General features: G+C 35.5%; 1 protein-coding gene across 4 annotated transcripts in view, besides 1 other annotated feature; it reads left to right on the forward strand.

Moving 5' to 3' along the window:
* HMCN1 (hemicentin 1) overlaps positions 1–20,529 on the forward strand; it is a 456,559-nt gene that overhangs the window by 60,565 nt on the left and 375,465 nt on the right. The gene's annotated exons all lie outside the window — the stretch shown is intronic.
* Positions 3,629–3,829: a silencer, noted in NCBI's record as "peak509 fragment used in MPRA reporter construct". NCBI's record gives its function as "represses an SCP1 promoter by STARR-seq MPRAs in K562 erythroleukemia cells {active_cell/tissue: K562}" and the evidence as "EXISTENCE:reporter gene assay evidence [ECO:0000049][PMID:32103011]".

Raw genomic sequence — 20,529 nt, forward strand, 5'->3', positions numbered from 1 at the left:
TTACATCAGTTCTGGAATGGTTTACTTTCCCCGTTAAGGTCACTGTCTATTTCTGGGAGCAGTTAGAAGTCTTGGTTTTCCATTGAAGGAACTATGCATGTATGTGTTGCATTAAGAAGAAGTAAGAGTACCTAAATAAATGAACTACACACTGGCTTTCACAAAAGTTGTTCTACAACTGAGTGTCTAATAGAGTTTTAAAGGTGGAGTGGTCATAGTCGAGCTTGTGAAATTTCTTTCCCATAGTAATTGGCCACTAGCTGACGGAAGCTATAGTGCCTTTGATTTACTTGTAACTTTCTGTTGCCAACCCAAATATTTCAGTTTCCTAACTGTCCAAGAAATGTACATTTTTATCTTGTTACTTCATATAATCATTGAGTCCTAAAAAAATAAAGAGTCATTTTAAATTCTCTTCCCAAGAGAAACCTTTTTTTCCCAAGAGCTGCATGTTGAGTTGGTTGCATTACAAATCATCAATTTCTGACTGTTGAAATGACCTTCTAGTAACACATAAAATTTGGTGCCCTCATGCCAAGGATGCAACTCAAGAAATTGTGATGAGTGTTTGGGTGCCAAATTCTACTTTACTACTTCTCATAGGAATGTCCTGAGTGTGGGGATGTTTTCTGATTGTTTGAAGTTCTCAGAAAAAGACATGACCTCTGTTTACATTGATAGATCATGAAGAGGAGCACGTCTAGAATATAAAAAAGACTTTTCTAACCTCCGGAATGCTAGAAAGCAGCAGGTTAAAGAATCAAGGTCTTGGGATTTCCCTTTTAAATTGCAACACCGATTTCTTCCTCTTAGTGGATTTTAATAAAATATACTAAGTAATTTCAATGATGAAGGCCAAGTATCATGTCTCTCTTGCTCACTCTTATGTCACAAGGTCTAGCACATACTACATAGCAGATACGTGCTAAAAGTTTGTTGATCAATGAAATGAATAACCTTATGGTGCCTGCTATAGCTATGCTACCTTATTATTTTTTTAATTTTATTTTACAGATTTAAGGGGTAAAGTGAAGTTTTGTTAACACGGATATCTTATGTAGTGATAAAGCCTGGGCTATTAGCGTAACCATCACCTGAATAGTGTACATCAGCGGTCCTCAAACTTTTTGGCACCAGTGACTGGGTTTGTGGAACACAGTTTTTCCATGGACAGTGAAAGGATGTGGTTTGAGGATGAAACTGTTCTATCTTAGAACATTAGGCATTAGTTAGATTCTTATAAGGAGTGCACAACCTAGGTCCCTTCCATGCACAGTTCACGATAGGGTTTGTGCTCCTAGGAGAATCTAATTCCCTCATTGATATGACAGGAGGTAATGCTGCTCACCTCCTGCTGTGTGGCCCAGTTCCTAAGAGGCCACGGACTGGTATGGGTCCATGGTCTGGGTGTTGAGGACCCCTGGTGTACATTGTACCCATTAGGTATTTTCTCATCCCTTATCCCTGTTCCACCTTCCCACATTTCTCAGTCTCCAGTGTCTATTATTCCACTCCCTATGTCCATGCGTACACATTATTTAGCTTCCGCTTATAAGTGAGAATCTGACTTTCTGTTTCTGAGTTATTTCACTTATGATAAGGGCCTACAGTTCCATCTATGTTGCCACAAAAGACATAATTTAATTCTTCTTTTATGGCTGAGTTTGTGTCTGTGTGTGTGTGTGTGTGTGTGTGTGTGTATACTCACATATATACACTTTACACATACATATGTACACACACTGCACATACATATATACACACACTGCATTTTCTTTATCTAGTCAACTATTGATGTATACTTAGGTTGACTCCATATCTTTCCTATTGTGAATAGTGCTGCAATAAACACGAGTGCAGATACCCTTTTGATATAATGATTCCTTTTTATTTGGGAAGGTACGCAGAAGTGGGATTGCTGGATCAAACGGTAGATCTATTTTTAGTTCTTTGAAAAATCCCCATACTCTTTTCCATAGAGGTTGTACTACTTTACATTTCCACCAGTAGTGTATACATGTTTCCTTTTCTCTGCATCCTCGACAACATCTGTTATTTGTTGACTTTTTAATAATAATCATTCTTACTGGTGTAAGATGGTATCTCATTGTGGTTTTAATTTGCATTTCTCTGATGATTGGTGATGTTAAGCATCTTTTCATGTTTGTTGGCCATTTGTATGTCTTCATTTGCAAAATATATGTTCATGTCCTTTGCTCATTTTTGTTAATGGGGTTGTTTTTTTCCTGCTGAGTTGTTTGAATTCCTTGTAGATTCTGGATATTAGTCCTTTGTCAGATGCATACTTTGCAAATATGTTCTTCCGTTCTAAAAGTTGTCTCTTTGTTTTTTGGTTGGTTGTTTTTGAGACTGGGTCTTGCTCTGTTGCCCAGGATATAGTACAGAGGCACAAATCTCAGATCAATGTAACCTCAAACCTCTAGGCTTAAGCAGTCTTTCTGCCTCAGCTTTCTGATTAGCTGGGACAGGTGTGTGCTACCATATCTGGCTAATTAAAAACAATTTATTTTTGTAGAGATGCAGTCTCACTATATTGCCCAGGCTGGTCTTGAACTCCTGGCCTCAAGCAGTTCTCCTACCTTGGCCTTCCAAAGTGCTGAGATTCAAAGCTAATATTGATATGTAAGGTTTTGTTCCTGTCATAATGTTAATTGTTACCTAGTTGTTTTATAGTCTCATTTATGCAATTGCTTTATAAGACTTGTTTTGGCCGGGCGCGGTGGCTCACGCCTGTAATCCCAGCACTTTGGGAGGCCGAGGCGGGCGGATCACGAGGTCAGGAGATCGAGACCATCCCGGCTAAAACGGTGAAACCCCGTCTCTACTAAAAATACAAAAAATTAGCCGGGCGTAGTGGCGGGCGCCTGTAGTCCCAGCTACTTGGGAGGCTGAGGCAGGAGAATGGTGTGAACCCGGGAGGCGGAGCTTGCAGTGAGCCGAGATCCCGCCACTGCACTCCAGCCTGGGCGACAGAGCGAGACTCCGTCTCAAAAAAAAAAAAAAAAAAAAAAAAAAAAAAAGACTTGTTTTATACTTTTATGTTCTTTTTATAATGGTGGGTATTGACCTTTAATTTCAATGTTTAGATTTCTTTTGTGCATTTCTTCTAGGACCAGTCTGGTGGTGATGAGTTTCTTTAGCATTTACTCGTCTGGGAAAGACTTTACTTCTCCTTCATTTGTGAAGCCTAGTTTAGCAGAATGCAACATTCATGGTGGACAGTTTTTTTCTTTAAGAATTATGGAAATAAGACCCTAATCTCTTCTACCTCATAAAGTGTCTGCTTAGAAGTCCAGTGTTAGTCTGATAGAGTTTCCTTTATAGGCAATTAGATGCTTTTCTCTTGCTGACTTTAGGCTGATGATTGTATGTCTTGCTTAAGTACTTCTTTCAATATATTTTCCTGAAGTTCTTTGAGCCTCTTAGATCTGGATGTCTAAATCTCTAGCAAGACTTGGGAAGTTTTCCTCAACTATTTTCTCAGATAGGTTTTACGAACTCTAGTTTTTCTTCTCCCTCAGGAATACCTCTGACTCCTAGATTTGAACATTTTACATAATCCCATGCTACTTGAAGTCTTTGTTCATTTTAACAAATTCTTTTTTTCTTTATATTTGTTTGACTGGGTTAATTCAAAAGACCTGCCTTCAGACTCTGAGATTCTTTCTTCTGCTTGTTCTAGTCTATTGTTAAAACTTTCAACTGTATTTTGTATTTCCTTCAATGAATTTTTCATTTCTAGAAGTTCTGGGGTTTTAAATATATCTATCTATCTCATTGATATATTTTTCCTTCATGTTCTAAGTTGTTCTTTTGATTTCTTTGTGTTGGTTTCCAACTTTCTCTTGGATCTCATTGAGCTTTTTGAAAATCAACATTTTGAATTCTTTATCTGATATTACAAGAATTTTATTTTGATTAGGACCTACTACTAGAGAGTTAGTGTGGTCCTTTGGGGTGTTGTAACACTTTTTCATACTTTCAGAATTATGTCTTTGGTTCCTAATCATATGCATATACTATTTCTTATTTTGGAATTTAATTTCATTTGGATACAACTTTTTTCTTCCTTTTTAGGATGTGACTATAATATATGTTGTTTAGGGTCTTTTGGCCTTGGTTCTAAGGGTGCTTTTGGTGGCAAAGTATCGTATAAGTTCCTTGGTTATAGATAGCCTCAGTGTGGTCACTTTCTTCAAATGCTGGTTGTAGTTGGGATATACTCTGCATGTGTGCAGGCTCATAGTCTCCTGCAGAGCTGGGTTGGTGGAAGTCTCAAGAGGCTTATCTTGTTCCCAAGTGCTATGCATTTGTGTCAGCAGATTTTGTATGGAGTTGTGCAGGTCAACCTCCAGGCCAGTAGAGGAGGAAACTCTCTGGTACCTTAGGCAGTGGGCTGGTCTGTGGGATGCCCAATGGCTTGGACTCCACTCTCAGCCCCAGAGTGGGGGTGAAGTTAGTTGGAGCTAGACTAGGAAGACTTGTCCTCAGATCTCCCAATGGCAGACACAAGGACCAGCCCTGATTGTGGGGGGAGTGGGGGCAAAAGTGCAAGAATGGTGTAGACTCTATGATTTCCTAGGTTATGAATACCCTTGGTGTGGTAGCTTTCTAGCTTTCTTAAATGCCCGTTGTAGTGGCAGGTAGGTCAGTGAGCTCAGGGCCTGCTGAGTAGCTGGGGTGTTTAGGGGCATGCTGGTAGCTGAGGTTTCACAAAACTTGTCTCCCACCCAAGCACCATGCAGTTATGCCAGCAGATGTTATAATGGGCTGTGCAGGTGACCTCCTGGCCAGTAGGTGGCTCTTGCAAGAGAGACAGCTGTGGTAGTGCAATGGGATTTATGCTTGACCTTTATTAACCAGAAATACTGAGCTGTCTCAGGTGATGGGTGGGGCTATGGAACTCCCAGGAGTCCCTGTCCCATGTTCTGCCACTGAGGTGGGTATCAGGAGCAAAACTGGATAGGGTTGGGTTGGGCACGCCCATATGTAGATACCCCAGTGATGGGTACAAGTACCAGCCCTGATGGGGTCAGAAGGCAGTTCTCAGGCTACTGGGGCAATGTTCTAGTGTGCAGCAGAGGTGCCTCTACCATGCCAAAGAGCCCACATGGAGAAAGAGGGGCGGCCCAGGCTCCACAGCCTACAAGGTGATAGTGGGACCCACTTAGCTCACATGCACTTGATCGTGGTGTCTCTCCCCTACCCTTTGCTGGTGTCCAGAAGCTTGCCCTAGCTCCCAGTAATCTCAGCCAAGCAGGCTGCATTGCTTCCCTCTTTGCTTTCAGTGCTTCCCTTCACTTCTCTGTTGGATTCCAGTGTTCTCCCTTAGACGATCTAGTTGAAGTGTGAATATCTACTTACATTTTGGTTCCTCTCTGTGGAAAAGGTGAGTGCTAGCCACACCTAGTCAGTCATCTCAAACCCCTTCATCATGATCACCTTATTTTAACTATATGTTGGAAATCATCCAGTCATCTGTTTAGTCTTTAGCATTTCCAAGCTATAATTTCCCCCTCTGTAAATATGACTAATTATATTTTATATAATATTTTATTTTACAGGTTGTTTTGAAGATTAGTGATAAGCACCTAATACATAGGAAACACTTATTAAATGGTAGGAAATATTATAAATAATTATAAATGGAACAACTTCAATTTCATGTTTAACTTCGTTTGCAAGTGAATTAGATCTTTCACTAAAAATGTGTCTAAAGTATTTGAATTAACCATACCCAATTTATGAATTGTCTTAGTATTTATGAACTGTTATGCTAAAGAGAAAATAAGTGTACTTACTATAGAAAAAAATATTTGGCCATCTATGAAACATGAATGTCTGATAGCATTTCTTCTGTCTTATATTTGTGGAAAATAAAAGTATTTAAAAATATATTTATGTGTCAGCTAAGAAAGTAAACCACTGTTTTTAATAATTTTATTAAAGAAGTGTTTGTACTCTTCTTGGGTCACTACTCTACTCTGATCTTTGCAGCTTTTAAAAACCTGTACAAAGCAAAAGATGAGATGTTTTGGATACATCTAAAAACAAAACAAAACTTTGACAATGAACAAGCACAGTGCCACAACACCTGATATAACGACTGTACACAAGAGGTGCTTCATTTGTTTTCAGTTAAATTGAGTAGAAAAACAAATTACTTCCTGAAAGAAAAAAAGTATATAATGCTACTATGAAAGACTTGCATAGTTAGGGTTTGGTCAATAATTCAGATTTATTCATGTTAGTGATGAGTGCCAAAACAGAAAGAAGTCGGTGGGCTAAGATATTGTCACTTGTGTGCTAAGAAAAATAAGTGCTCTGGAAAAAAATCGCAGCTCAAATGATTAGATCCATCCTTCTTCCACTTATTTCATGAGATATCCAACAACTGCAGGTTGTTCTAACGGTTCAGTACTCTAGGTTTGTAGTTTGGTCATTTGCTCCTTTATTCAACAAACACTGAGCTTCTGCAACATGCTAGATACTCACTTGGCCCTGAGATGGTGGAAAAGCAAAACCAGATGAAGTCCCTTCTCACTTTGGCTAACAGTCTTGTGGAGAGACAAAAATTGATTAAATAGTCACATTAAACAGTTGAAAATGTAAATGCGACTTAGAGAGTATGAACTAGTTCAATGATTCAGGCAAGAATTTCCTAAGGGGAGTGAAGACTGAACTAAATGGCAAGGAGGAATAACAGTTCATAAGAGGAAAGGTAGAGGGAAGAACAATCTAGGGAACGGACAGAGAGGAAAGGTCCTATGGAATAAAAGTGTGCAAGGCAAGTAAGAGAAACTAAAAGGTGTGGAGGGAGTTAAGGATGGCTGGAGGCGTAGGTAGAAACTAGACCATGCAAGGCATTGTTGTCCATGCTTAGGAGTTTCAGTTGCATCCTATGAGCGATAGAAAGTCATTGGAAGGATTTAATTGGTAGATTATATAATCATGTTTATGTCCCAGAAAACATACTTCAGTTCCCTGTAGGGAATGGATTAGAGAGGAATTCATAGTGAATGATGGAAGAAATGTTAGGGCTCTTTACATACCCTAGGTTCTCTGAGAGATAAAAAGGACTAAGGTTGTGGTTGAGGAGATGAGAAAAAGTAGAGAAGTTCAAGAGCTATTTAATGGATAAAATGGATAAGATTTAGTGATGGCTTGGGTAGGGGAGGAGTGAGGCTAGGCATGGGGTGAATCATGTCAACACCTAAGTTTTTGGATTGTGCAATTGGATGAACATAGGTACTTTTCATAGACATGGGAACCAGTAGAAAATAATCAGATTGAAGGGTAGAGGTGAAATGATAAATTTTTGTTTTGACACATCAAACTACAGATGATTTAGGGACATTTCGGTACAAATGTAGACTAGACATCTTGATATAAGAGATTCTGCGAAAGTTGCCTTAGACTAGAATCACCATGCGTAGTTTTTAACTGAGGCCCATTGGCATGGATGAAATCACCTAGGTAAAGTGTAGTACAATGGCCTAAGAATAGGCCTTTAGGAGCTGTAGAATCCTTATTTGCCAGGTAAGGAAGAAAGAGCACGCAACTGAAAGACCCAGAATCAAGGATGAAAGAGGAAAGAGAAAACCAGGACAATGTTATATCAAGGCCACCAAGGAAAGGGTGTGTTTTAAGAATGAGAGTGGTACCAAATGCTGTTGAGAGACCATGTGAGATGGAGACTGAAAAGTGCTTATTTGACTTAGTGTCATAAAGGTAATTGACTTGACTCAGGATTGTTTTGGTGATGTGTCGGGAGAGAAGCCAGACTTAACTAAAATTGAAGCTTTGGTGGAGATGAAGAAATAGTGATCACAGATAAATATTTCGGCAAGTTGTCTGTAAGTGGGGGGAGAAAGATGGAATGATAGTGAAAGAGAATAAGGGGAACAGGGAGGTGTTTTGTTGTTTTGTTTTTGTGTTTTATAAATTGTAGAAACTTGAAAGCTTTAAAAGCTATGGAAAAGAGGGAGTATTTGGATATATGCAGTAGAGAGATAGAACTTTCCAGAAAAATAAAGCTCCTACTGCATATTTTTTCTCTTTGGCTCCTAGAATCCGAATGCTTATTTGCACAAATCTATGCATAGAGGATTGTCAGAATTCTCTGTGAATTTCTTGAGTCTCCCTCAAAATAACCTTCACAGAAGAAAAAGTATCTTTTTTAGTAAATGCCTCTACTAAAATTAGCAGAACCAAAAAAAAAAAAAAAGCAAAAAAAAAAAAAAAAAACAAAACAAGGAGGAAATTGACTTTGGGGAGTAAATATAGTAAGATAAAAAAGGGAAAGATAAGGTCCTGTAAACTTACTTTAACCTTAATAAACACCTTAAATATATAGCTTTGACATCTTTATGACTACAGTTTCATTACAAACTTTCATCATAGTAACTTAAGTCTATAGAAGCAAAGATGAATATTTATCTGTGGAATTCAAGCAACATCTGGTCATTTGAGCAGAAAGATCCATTATTTTTTCTTCAATAGCATTTTTTCTCCCAGTCAGTTTTACTTTCCAAAACGATTTGTGGTGAGGGAAAAAAGGGAGTTGAAAAGTAAGTCTCTAACAAAAGATATTCTTTCAACATTTAAAAAATGGACAGAAAAGGATGAGGCAGAAAGGGCACTTTTGAATAGTTAGTACCTGTTTAGGAATAGGGAAGTGAGATTAGGTAGAATTCTACTTGTTCTCAAATTTCCTTATACTTCAGATACTACTTTTCATGCTAAAAATTTCTTTTTGATTTCTGTTAAAACCTTCTTATCCTCTCCTAACAACTTGTGTAAATTTAGGTAAGCCAACCCTTCAGTTTTGTCATCTATAAAACAAAGGCATTGGAAGAGATTATATCCAAGTTGCCTTCCTGATCCAATATTCCAGGATTCAGCAAACTTTAGTCATTGCTTTTTGGCTATCATTCAATTGCTGTCTTCAGAATACATCTTCTTGGATCCTCTAGTTATCTGTCAACAAAAATAAATTATTTGTCTTTATTTTTGAAATATTCCTCTTAGAGCCCCAGATGTGTGAATTGGTACAGAAAAGAGACATTTTTTTAAATTCATCTCTTTTCATACCTTCTAAATCAACCATTACAAAGAGTTTACTAGTCAGATTTTTTTAAAATTTTCATTTAAAAATTGAAATGGCTAAAGAGGGCATTTTATATGCTCTATGTTTTCAAAGTATAATTTTAGTTTTCCTAGTAACACTAACAAATTGCAAAGTTAATAACACTAACAATTACCCATAGAGTATTACAAAAATGGTATTAACAAATCCTTAATTTGTATGTCTGCTTACTGAAACATTGACTGCTTTGCACATTATAACTGCAGTCATCATGATTCTAGTGTTTGTTGAGTTGTGGTCTGTTTGACAGTCATCTGGAATGTTTATTACCTAAACTCAAATAACTAGATCTTTTTCTTCTAAATACCTTGAGAGTGCTTCACTGACTAAAGGAAAAGGAAGCCTGATTTACTTTAATACTACAGCTTCATTTCCTGCAAGATCTCAGGATTGATCATGGAATCCCACAACTCAAAGTCTTTATGAATTTTTTTAGTAGTGTGGATTTTTAAAAACAGGTTTAGGACTTTCAACTCAAAGCTTTTAGGTTTCTTTTTAAAACGAGTTCTTTTAGCACTAACTAGACCTTCTACCTCTCCTTCCAACCATTACTTCATTTTGTGTCTGTTTTTCACACCTTTAGGACATTTCTTAAATGTGTCCTTACTTTGACCTGATTCCGCAGAAATTCTTATTTATGTCTTAATTGTTTCCTGTCATGGCTGTAGTAGTTCCTTCTTTATAGTCTTCCTAAATCCCTGCTCTTTAAACTTCAGAGGGGGCTTAGAATGTTATGACGAGACTACAGATTCCTGCTGTTAGAAAGTAATGTGCTTTGTATTGAGGTAATGTTTATTGACCTAGTTTTAAAAAAAACTATACTATTTCTCTATTGACTTGTTGTAATAGTTTGGTTAGAAAAATGGATGAGATTAGCATTTGGAAGGAATTGTACACCTGACAGATTCTAGTGGAAAATGTATCTTGAACCATTTTAATTAAGTTTTTAGTGGGGAAAAATTATTCTGATGGCATATTTTCCTTACATTGATGGCAGTCTTTTATTTAAATTTCACTTGCCTAACCTTACACTGGGAGCATGAGAAAAGCTTGTGAGATACAATAGCATTTTTAAAAAATTCTAAAGACATTAAAATACTTTTCACAGTTATAAGTACAGTAGAATTTGCAACATTTTAAATTTTATTTCCCAAAATATTTTTTATTGGTACTCCAACCCCCAGATATGCTTATGAAATGGACAAGTGACAGTTTTGTACCCCCATCCTCTAATTATCAAGTGCAGAGGCCAAAAAGTTCAAATATCTTCCCTCTGAAAATAGTAAAAATTTTGTCATTACATAATAACATTTAGGTAGAGATGACAATTTGGTGTGTGTGTGAAATGAAAGTGACTGACTATTTCATTGGTACTTCTGAGCTTTATGGGAATTATAGTTGAGTTTTTGTCATATCTCATTATTGATAAAGGACAAAAAAGGAATACATGTATTCTATATCCCTCAAAAATATTTAGGCAAAGTTACTTTAGAGAAACATTTTAACCATGTGATCTTTTTGCAAATTTATTCTGGAAAGCAGGATTTTGCTGTAGTGTATGTGCTATTTCTCTCCTTCCCTCTCTCTGTCACTGCCTCTCTCTACTGCGTATGTCTAACCCTGACCCATGCTGCACAAAAGGTACTTCTGAAGGTATTGTGAGCAGCACAGCATGTCAGCCTTGTGTCCTGCTCCTATATTGGTAGAGTCAATACTTGAGCTGATTCTGGTGCAGACAAAATATGTGCTCTAATCATTACCATTTGGTGCCACATTCATGGTTAGGGCATGGTTCATTTTCCATTTATTTTTTTTACATAGAGCTAAAAAAGATCCTATCATTTTTATTCCTAGGGAAAATATTCCCCATTGTGGAAGAGTCATTCTAGCTTAAGAAATTAAGAGCTGATTGTAGAGTGAATCCAAGCATGTACAAACTTGATATAATAATAATAATAATATAATAATAGGTAACTTTTATTAAGAGCTTGTTACATATTATAGTTCTAAGTTCTTTCATTTATTAACTCATTTAAATAACTCTACGAAGTAGTTCTATTTTACCCCCATTTCATAGATGAGGAAACTGTCATTAAGAGATTAAATGCCTGAACAACTAATAAGAGACAGAAATGGGATTCAAGCACACTCAGACTCTGGAGCCCACATTCTTAAGCAGTAGTCTCTACTCCTTCCAATATGTAGGGAGTGCTTTTCTCAGATTTACTTTGTATGTTTATGAGCCCTAACAGGAAAGTTTTATCCAGCAACAAATGCTGGACTTGGTGGCACACATCTATAGTCTTAAGCTACTCAGGAGGCTGAGGTAGGAGGATTGCTTGAGCCCAGGAGGTCAAGGCTTCAGTGAGTTGTGATCATGCCACTTCGCTGTAGCCTGGGCAACAGAGTAAGACCCTGTCTCAAAAAAAAAAAAAAAAAAAAGACATAAGACATCACTTAAAACTCAGCAAATTATCTTTGATTTTTTTCTTTGTTATCTTTGATTTGATCCATTTTCGAACCAAGCATCTCTCACGTACGATGGCATTGCATCTTGCTTCTTTTACCTTTACAAACTGGTTTGCATTTTAGAAAGAGCCTTTTTGAGTTTGAAAATTAAATGTAACCCACTACAAAGTTTTGTATTGATGTATTATTATGAAAGAATTTATAAAATGCCCACTGTGTTTTTATTATATTTAATTTATTTAGTGTGGCTTAATGTAGGCATTATGTGGAGAAGGTTAAATTAGTCTTGTTATGAAAGGCTTTCCATCCTCATTTCCTGTCTTATACATTTTTTTCTTAACATTTCATTTAATGAAACAGTTGAAGTGTTTCTCGATGATTGAAAATCTATAAAATTACACCTTTGACTTTGAAATACCTTTAACTTTCAAGAATTTGGGATTATAGTAGTAATTAGTAAAAGGGATAATGTTTAAAGTTTTAGCTCCCTGTGTGTTGAAGATTATAATATAAAAAAAGCAGTTTTCTGTTAAATAAATTTCCTATTTAAACTATCTAAGAACATTCAAAATCCTGAATATGAAGACTTTTAACATTTCAGTGTGATGATTTCCTGTTGAAGGTTACTTAGTCCTTGAAAAATAAAGAGTTACATTTTGGCACTGAAGAGTCAATATTCAGACTTTTTCTGTGCTGCCACTTAACTTCCCAATAATTAATTGCATGTAATATTTTGGAGCAACTTAGCTGTTATACAGCCTACATAGTTCAATAGATAGGCTTCTCTTAACATGCAGAATAAATCTGATTGAGGAAAGCAAACTAGCATATTCACATGTGTACTCACAGAAATACTCAAGAACACATTCATACATATTCACATATGGTTATATGCAGTAATATACACAGGAATACACATAAACATGCACATATTAGCATACACATATATGCTCCTGGATTCATGCATACATATTTGAAAGTAAGGCTAGTTCTGGCCAAAAGGTTTCTTCTGTATTACTTTGTTTTGGTGTTAAGATTCAAAAACTCCTTTAAAGTAAGCCTTCCAATGTTATTTATAATTTGTGAGAATAAGCCTTGCATTCTTGTCTTTAGTATCACTTCTTTCATGTTTATGAATTTTATGTTTTTATACTGGATTCTTTCTGCAAAAGTCTTTTATGATAATACTTTTTTTCCTTGCAGTCTGAAAGATGAGAGATAACAAATTAAGTGGTGTAACTTTACTAATTTTCTAAAAAGTAAACATTTTGAAAACTACTATGTTGAGAAAACAAGTGACGGGAATATTCTCTTTTTGAAATATTTAAGGTATGGAACTTTCTGTTCTAATTTCTGAAGGTAGAGAGACAGTTCTGCTTCATATTGAAATTTCTAAATAATTTTTAAAATAATTAACTTAAAAGTCACACTAGCCTAGGCAATATAGTGGGACCCCTGTCTCTATAAAAAGTAAAACAAACAAACAAAAAACCTGTAATCCCAGCACTTTGGGAGGCGAAGGTGGGTGTATCACTTGAGGCCAGGAGTTTAAGACCAGCCTGACCAATATGGCGAAACGCTGTCTTTATTAAAAATACAAAAAATTAGCCAAGTGTGGTGGTGTGCGCCTGTAATCCCAGCTATTTGGGGCACTGCGGCACGAGAATCCCTTGAACCTCAGAAGCAGAGGTTGCAGATAGCTGAGATCATGCCACTGCACTCCAGCCTGGATGACAGAGTAAGACTCTGTCTCAAAAAATAAATAAATAAAAAATAAAAAGTAAAAATGGTGGTGCATGCCTGTAGTCCTAACTATTCCAGAGGCTGAGGTGCGAGTATCACTTGAGCCCGGAAAGTTGAGGCTGCAGTGAGGTGTGATCATGCTACTGCACTGCAGCCTGGGCAACAGAGCAAGACCTTGATCCAAAAAAATTACTTAAAACTCAGCAAATTATCTTTAATTTGTTTTTTGTTATTGTTTTCTTATAGACTATTAAAATTATGAATGGATTTTGGTACTTAATATAGGATTTTCTTTTTGTGGCAATAAACCTATGGCTGTATTTCATATTATATTTTGATGTTTGCAATTTGATAAACTACATGGGATAAGAGAGTCCTTCAAAGTGTATTCTACTTCCTTTTCTCTTCAGGCATCTGAATGATGTAAGAGGTTAACTATTCTGTTTTCTTCGTGGCTCAATATTTCTTTCTTTGACTATTAATAATATGATGGCATTCAACATGGATCTTTGGGCAACTCTTACAGGAAGAGTCAAAAAAGTATTCAGAAGGGAAATAGCAATAGGCAGTATGTAATGGATTAGCTGTTTGGAATGGAGAGCTATTAATTTATACCAGACCACTTGTTCAAGGTTACTTTACCCACCCTCCTTTGTGATCCAGAGCCAAAGGATCCAAATGGGTAATTACCTTTGGTCAAATTATATTTCGACTTACCTAATGATAGTATTCGGTGTAGTACTTTTCTCCCAAAGGACATATAAGCACTTTATTAACGTCTCTTTCATTCCTAACATATGTCTAAGAACGAGAAAGAGGCCAAGTATTTTCCTTCACCATAGTAAAAACCCCATTTTACAGACGGGGCTGGAGACTAAGGTCATTTTCTGGAAAACAGATTTTGGCAGTTTTCCCCAAGAATTTTAACTTTGAAATAACTCTCTCTTAATATGCTTTATTAGTAGGAATCTTTGAGATAATTTTGTAATTAATAAAATATGTTTTCTTTGTCTCCATTCCATTAACAATGAATTTGAATACACACACACACAACATACATGTGATTATATATACATCACTAGACATTCCTGGGCATTATATATACTATAACATAGTATGTGCACATGTATATACATGTGATTACATATATATATCACTAGAAATTTCTAGGCATAATATATATATATAATTAATATTTCTGAAATTCCTACTGTGCATCTTGTATTCAGTAAAGTGATGAAGACAGGAAAACAGTATTGACAAAAGGTGATCCTTGCCCTTTGTACAGTGGCACTCCTGGAAATAATAGTAAGTAGTATCTTAACACACTTTTTGATATATAGATATGATATAGTATGATATAACATACTTTTTGATATATGGGATCAGTCAGGGAGGAGGTACTTCAAAAGTATTTAGGTCTGTTCTACACTTGCCAGATTTAGTGATTTATTTTGTCACTTCTGTCACTCTGAAAGGCTTAAGATACTTTTTGAAACAATTCAAATTCTCTTCACTACCTAGTGGAAACTCCAAAATGTTTGTTGCAGGGTTTAGGTCATCCTTTTAGTACTATTTTTCTTTTGGGTATCAATATTTATTCTGTATTCTGGGATATCTTTGCCCCTACTCATTAGTCTTTTTTAGTGGAATGATTAAAGGTGAGGAAATAAACACTTGAATAAACAAACCGATCATTGCCACTCTTCTCAGGAATTATTGGTAACTGCAAAATAATCTTTTAACATTTTGGTTATATCTCTACAAAACAGGAGAGAGTCAAACTTTATTTAAGCCTTCATCACACTATTAAATAGAACGAGGAGGAGACATATTCTGCAATTAAATAATCCAATCTAGTCTCTTTCATCTGTCATTTTTTCCATTGATCAGTGAGTTCGTAGCTTTAATAGGGAAAATGTGTTATAGCTAAATTTAGTTTCCCTTAATGATTGGGACAATTTTGTATTTTGCATACAGACCCTGGGAAGAGATTGAAGTGAAACTTGTCAAATATAATCAATGAATATTTTAAGTTTAAAAGGAAGAAAATTCCACCCAATAAAAAGATTCACAGACATCACATTAATGACTGAAAGTGAAACTCAGTTATAAGAAAAGCTGCATGAATGTTTTGCTCTTTGAATATTTTTTCTGATTTGACAGTGAATACCTGAACATAGGTAGTTTTTCACATGACATTAAGATGAATCCAAACTGCTGCATGTAGTAAAATGGACTCGATTTAATCCCACAATCAGTTTATGTACAACATTAACTATGTTCCTAAAGAGTGACAACTAAATAAATATCAACTTTGTGTGTGTGTGTGTGTGTGTGTGTGTGTGTGTGTATCTCACATGTGCACAACACAGGAAGACCATAAATTCTTCCCATAATGATTAAAATTTATTAAGTGCCTGGAAAATAAAAGTTGTATAAAAATGTTAATCTGAAATATTAAATATGCAAGCTTATTCACAGTAAATCAGTAAATTTCATTTTTCAAAGTTCAGCTGGGTGATGGTTTTATAAAAAAAATTCAGACATTTCAACATTGCTTATGGAAAACATTTGGCATTCTGTTAGCAAAGAACAGTGTCAAAAATCTAAACGTTTTTCCTTCAACATCTGCATTTGCTTATTAAAAAACAAACCCATCCCACACCCCCAATCTCTCAAACAAGTTAAGTTTGCATGAAATGTTTTTCATTTGTCCTGATATTCAATCTGAAATTTTTTGTGTATCTGAGAGTTTTAGTCTCTTTCATTTCTACATGTCCTTACATATAGGACTTAAGATAGGAGTGGTCTTACAGAATTTTGAGAAAAACGCTTGAAGAAAAAAAGTCATTGTATGCTCTCAATTTGAAAAACAAGGGCTATTAGAGGGACAGGGTAGATTCTCTTACACAGCCTCCACAAAGAAATGTGTGCCCTGCCCTCCACTGTGCTCCATTAACTGAACTTAATACATTGATATAGGGCCATGATATGTACTGTTCTCCACATCACAGTCTACTTGAAACAGGTGATTCTCATAAAAGTGTGAGGACTAGCCTGGGCGATATAGTGAGACCTCAGCTCTAAAAAAAAAAATGAATTTTAAAGTTAGCCAGATGCAGTGTCATATGCCTGTAAGTCCCAGCTGCTTAGGAGGCGGAGGTGGGAAGGATTGCTTAGGCACAGGAAGTTGAGCTATGATCACACCACTGCACCACTGTGCTCCAGCCTGGGTGACAGAGCAAGACCCTGTCTCTTGAAAAATAAAAATAAAAAAAAAAGGAGGTGTGTGGATTTGTTGGTATAAGCCATTTTTCTCATGGATCTGGTTTTTAAGCTAGGAGACTGGAAAGAAAGAAAAGGCAGTCTTATTTCTCTTTCCCTTGCTCTAAAAAAAAAAATACACATATGTATATACATAGGCATGTGCCTTCATTGGATTGTTTTAGCAAAAAGATTAAATGAAATGCTGAACATATTGAACTAACCTATGGACCTTCTTTCTTGACATTATTTTTGCACATTTTTCTTTTTAGTTCACTTCAGATATTTTGAGATTGTCTCAGTTAATGAGGTGAACTACTGTCTAGGGCATTTTCTTAAGAATTATGATGTTATAGAAAACTGGAGACAGACATTAGCAATGTTTATGAAGATAGTTTCCTTTCAACTTAAGGCAGATCCTCTCAATTAGAGTTTTAGAGTACTCAGCTTTAACTTACCCAGTCAGCTATTCTCTAAGTAGCATATAGTTTTTGAAGATGGCCAACATTAAAAGTTTTTATCTGCTTAATAGTATGTTGTTGATTTTTTTTTTAGGGCAAGATATAAGTGATTATAAAAGGGAAGCAGATTGCTTCTGTGGCCTGTCTAGGTTATTTGACTGATTTCCTATTGATAAATATCTTTTTACTAAAACATTGATTTTAGTGTTATTTTGGCATGTTTGATTGAGAAATGTAACACATTCAAATCAACGGAAAATACATACACAAGAGACTGCATCATCTTAAAAGCTACTTGACTTGAAAAAAATGAATATGATTTTGACTTATTGGACCTGTTTCTTTAACAAAAAAAGTGTCATATGCGACTCTAAGAAAAATTAAATGGATTTCTTATTTGAAATGCCTTTTAGCTTTTTCACATTCTCTGGTTATCGATTCATTATATAACATAATATTTGGGATCTGAGAAGTGAAAATTGTAAGTATGATCTGCTTCACATGTACAAAGCCCACCTCTTATGAGGTTTTAAAGGTAAATATTTAGCACAGATATTAGACTTTTGAAACAATTTATATGTTTGTACATCAAGTTAGAATAATTGAAAACTGAATAATTGAGAGAAAGTATTAAAAATGATTCTGGCAATTTAGTTATCCAGCAGGTTGCTTTCTGGTTCTTAAATTATCTCAATATTGACACTTTCTTGGAATATACATACATATGTTTGCAATCCCCCCCCACACACATTCCCCTCATTGATATGCATCATGCACAATAAGATGGAAATGAGACCTAATTTTTTTATGTAAGGGAGAATATATATAGCATAAAGTTTCCAAATTTATAATACTGTTTTACAAAGATAACTATTATAAGTTTTCTCTACACATGTACATGAGTACAGTTTTCACATGTTTTCTCATGAGAGGACTTCCTGATTGCATCTGATTGAAGTGATAGTGACTACCTAAATAGATACTTGTTCAACTTTTGTTCCTCAGCTGCACTGTAAATTCCATGTCTGCCTTACTCAGTTCTGCTTTTCAGAGCCTGACATGGGACTTGGCCCCATAATAGTTGCTCAATTAATATTGTACATCAATGAATGAATAAGTATACTTACATAACTTTGGTTTGTTTATTAAAATAAGAAAATAGCTGCATGGAAACAGGGTAAATTAATGTAATCACTGAGGTTTTGTTTGACTACCTAGTTAAAATATGATAATAGAAACCAATTATATTGCCATTCCTTAAATTTGTTTGGTCATCAAAAGCAAATGGAATAGGTTGCAAACTGTATTTGCTTGAAGAGAAACAGTACGATGTCAGTGTAATTTCTATATAATTATACTTCTGGGAAAATTTTAAGCAAAATCATATTCTGATTACTCTTGTAAAATATACTGCTGTAGGAGGCTTTAGGTCAGCTTTGAATAAGCATAAATTTAGTAACACTAGCCTACAAAAGGTATATATAATATATGGATCTGTCAGTACCAGCAGGTGGAGCTGTATTCCAATGCTGAATAACATGGCCTCTTTATAGAGGGTTGACTTGAGGAAGAATCAAAATCCTAGTAGAAACTTTTATAAGGAATTTTACATATCGTGGTATTAAGCACACATCTTAAATTCTGCATGTAATATAACCATAGTTTATAGTTTAATAGAAATTTTCTGACTTGTTTTCACTTATTTTTACTTGTGTTTGCTGTCACAGAAATAGTTACAATTTTGCTGTATTACATTTGACTTACCTTAAACGTATGCTAACAAAATACACACACCAGAAACTGGAACAGAAGTAACTGAAAAGTCAAGTTTAGACTCATCTTGGAGAAAGAGTGAAAAAATAATGAGTGAATGAATAGGATATGGAGTTCACTTAAAGGCAACAGATAAATTATAGTGGGTTTTTAATGGTATTAGTTCATGTAAGCACGTTTAGCTTACATATCCCTTCTACACTTAGTATTGCATATTTCCTCTGAGTGATAGGAATTCTAAAAAGTGAAACAAAGTTTTAGATATGGATAGTCAAATTTAACCTCTTATTTGAAGAGAGATACAGAACCTAACAACTTGAAAATAGAAGAGGCCTTCACAATCGAGTCTTCTTTCTTCCCTTAAAACAATAGTTGTACAGGCCACTCTTTTGAAGCAATTGCTGATGGACAATAGTCTCTGACTTAAATGTTTTATTCCCTTACCTTTCAAATAGATTACATTTTTTTCTGGAACATCTGTGTACTATAAAATTAAAAATTAGTGCTAGAAACAGAGTTGGTGGGATACTTCCCGATGTATACTGGTTTTCATGAGACATTAAAATTTAATAACAGACAAACAAAGTTGAAGTCTTCTGAGAAATTACTCATACTTCTACTTAGGTATAATTAAAGATGAATATCTGCTTTCATGCTTCTTTTCTTACTAAAACAATAACTTAACCTAGTCAGTAGAAAATAAATTTCATGTTTGGTGATATTTAGTCAGTTGGCCACTGGGGAGTTACTTGGTAATGAAGGCATCTATTTTATATTTCCTATTTATTGTTTCTTAGGAGGTTATCTTTTAATTATTTTATTGCACTTAATATTTATTTTTTTTAATTATTATTATTTATTTTTTTTTTTTTGAGATGCAGTATCACTCTGTAGCCCAGGCTGGAGTGCAGTGGCTCGATCTCAGCTCACTGCAACTTCCACCTCCTGGGTTCAAGCGATTCTCCTGCCTCAGCCTCCCAAGTAGCTGGGACTACAGGCACACATCACCATGCCCGGCTAATTTTTGTATTTTTAGTAGAGATGGGGTTTCACCATGTTAGCCAAGCTGGTCTTAAACTCCTGACCTCAAGTGATCCACCCACCTCGGCCTCCCAAAGTGCTGGGATTACAGGTGTGAGCCTGGCCGAACTTTTTGTATAAGTAGAATAATTTAGGGGTTATAGAGGGTAAGAAAAATCAGTGTTCTTTGGTAAAAAAGAGAAAGTGAACAATGTCCGGTTAGACAAGAAAGACATGTTTGAAGTCAATGGCAAATACAGCTTATACTTCAGTGATTTTACATGTATAATGGTGGATCACTCAAATATACTAATTACATAATTTTGAAGAACCATATCCTGAGAATGATGTAATCAACTTTTAAAACATATTGTTTGACACAGACTGTGAGGGGTGAAGCATGGACCACTTTAATGTTTGACTAGATTTAAGTGTGATGAGAAATTTGTCATCCTAAAGTTTAGTTTTTTATATAAAAAGTTCTATGTCAGTTGTTTACAAGTCAAATAAGTTACTCTTATTTTCTTTTCATTAATAGCATTGTAAGTGCTTATAATCACTTAGGATTCTTATAAGTGGCTACCGTATTTTCTCATCCATGCTGCCTATAAATGTACTTAAACATAG

The sequence above is a fragment of the Homo sapiens genome, chromosome 1 (genome assembly GCF_000001405.40).
Source record: "Homo sapiens chromosome 1, GRCh38.p14 Primary Assembly".
Taxonomy (NCBI): Eukaryota; Metazoa; Chordata; class Mammalia; order Primates; family Hominidae; genus Homo; species Homo sapiens.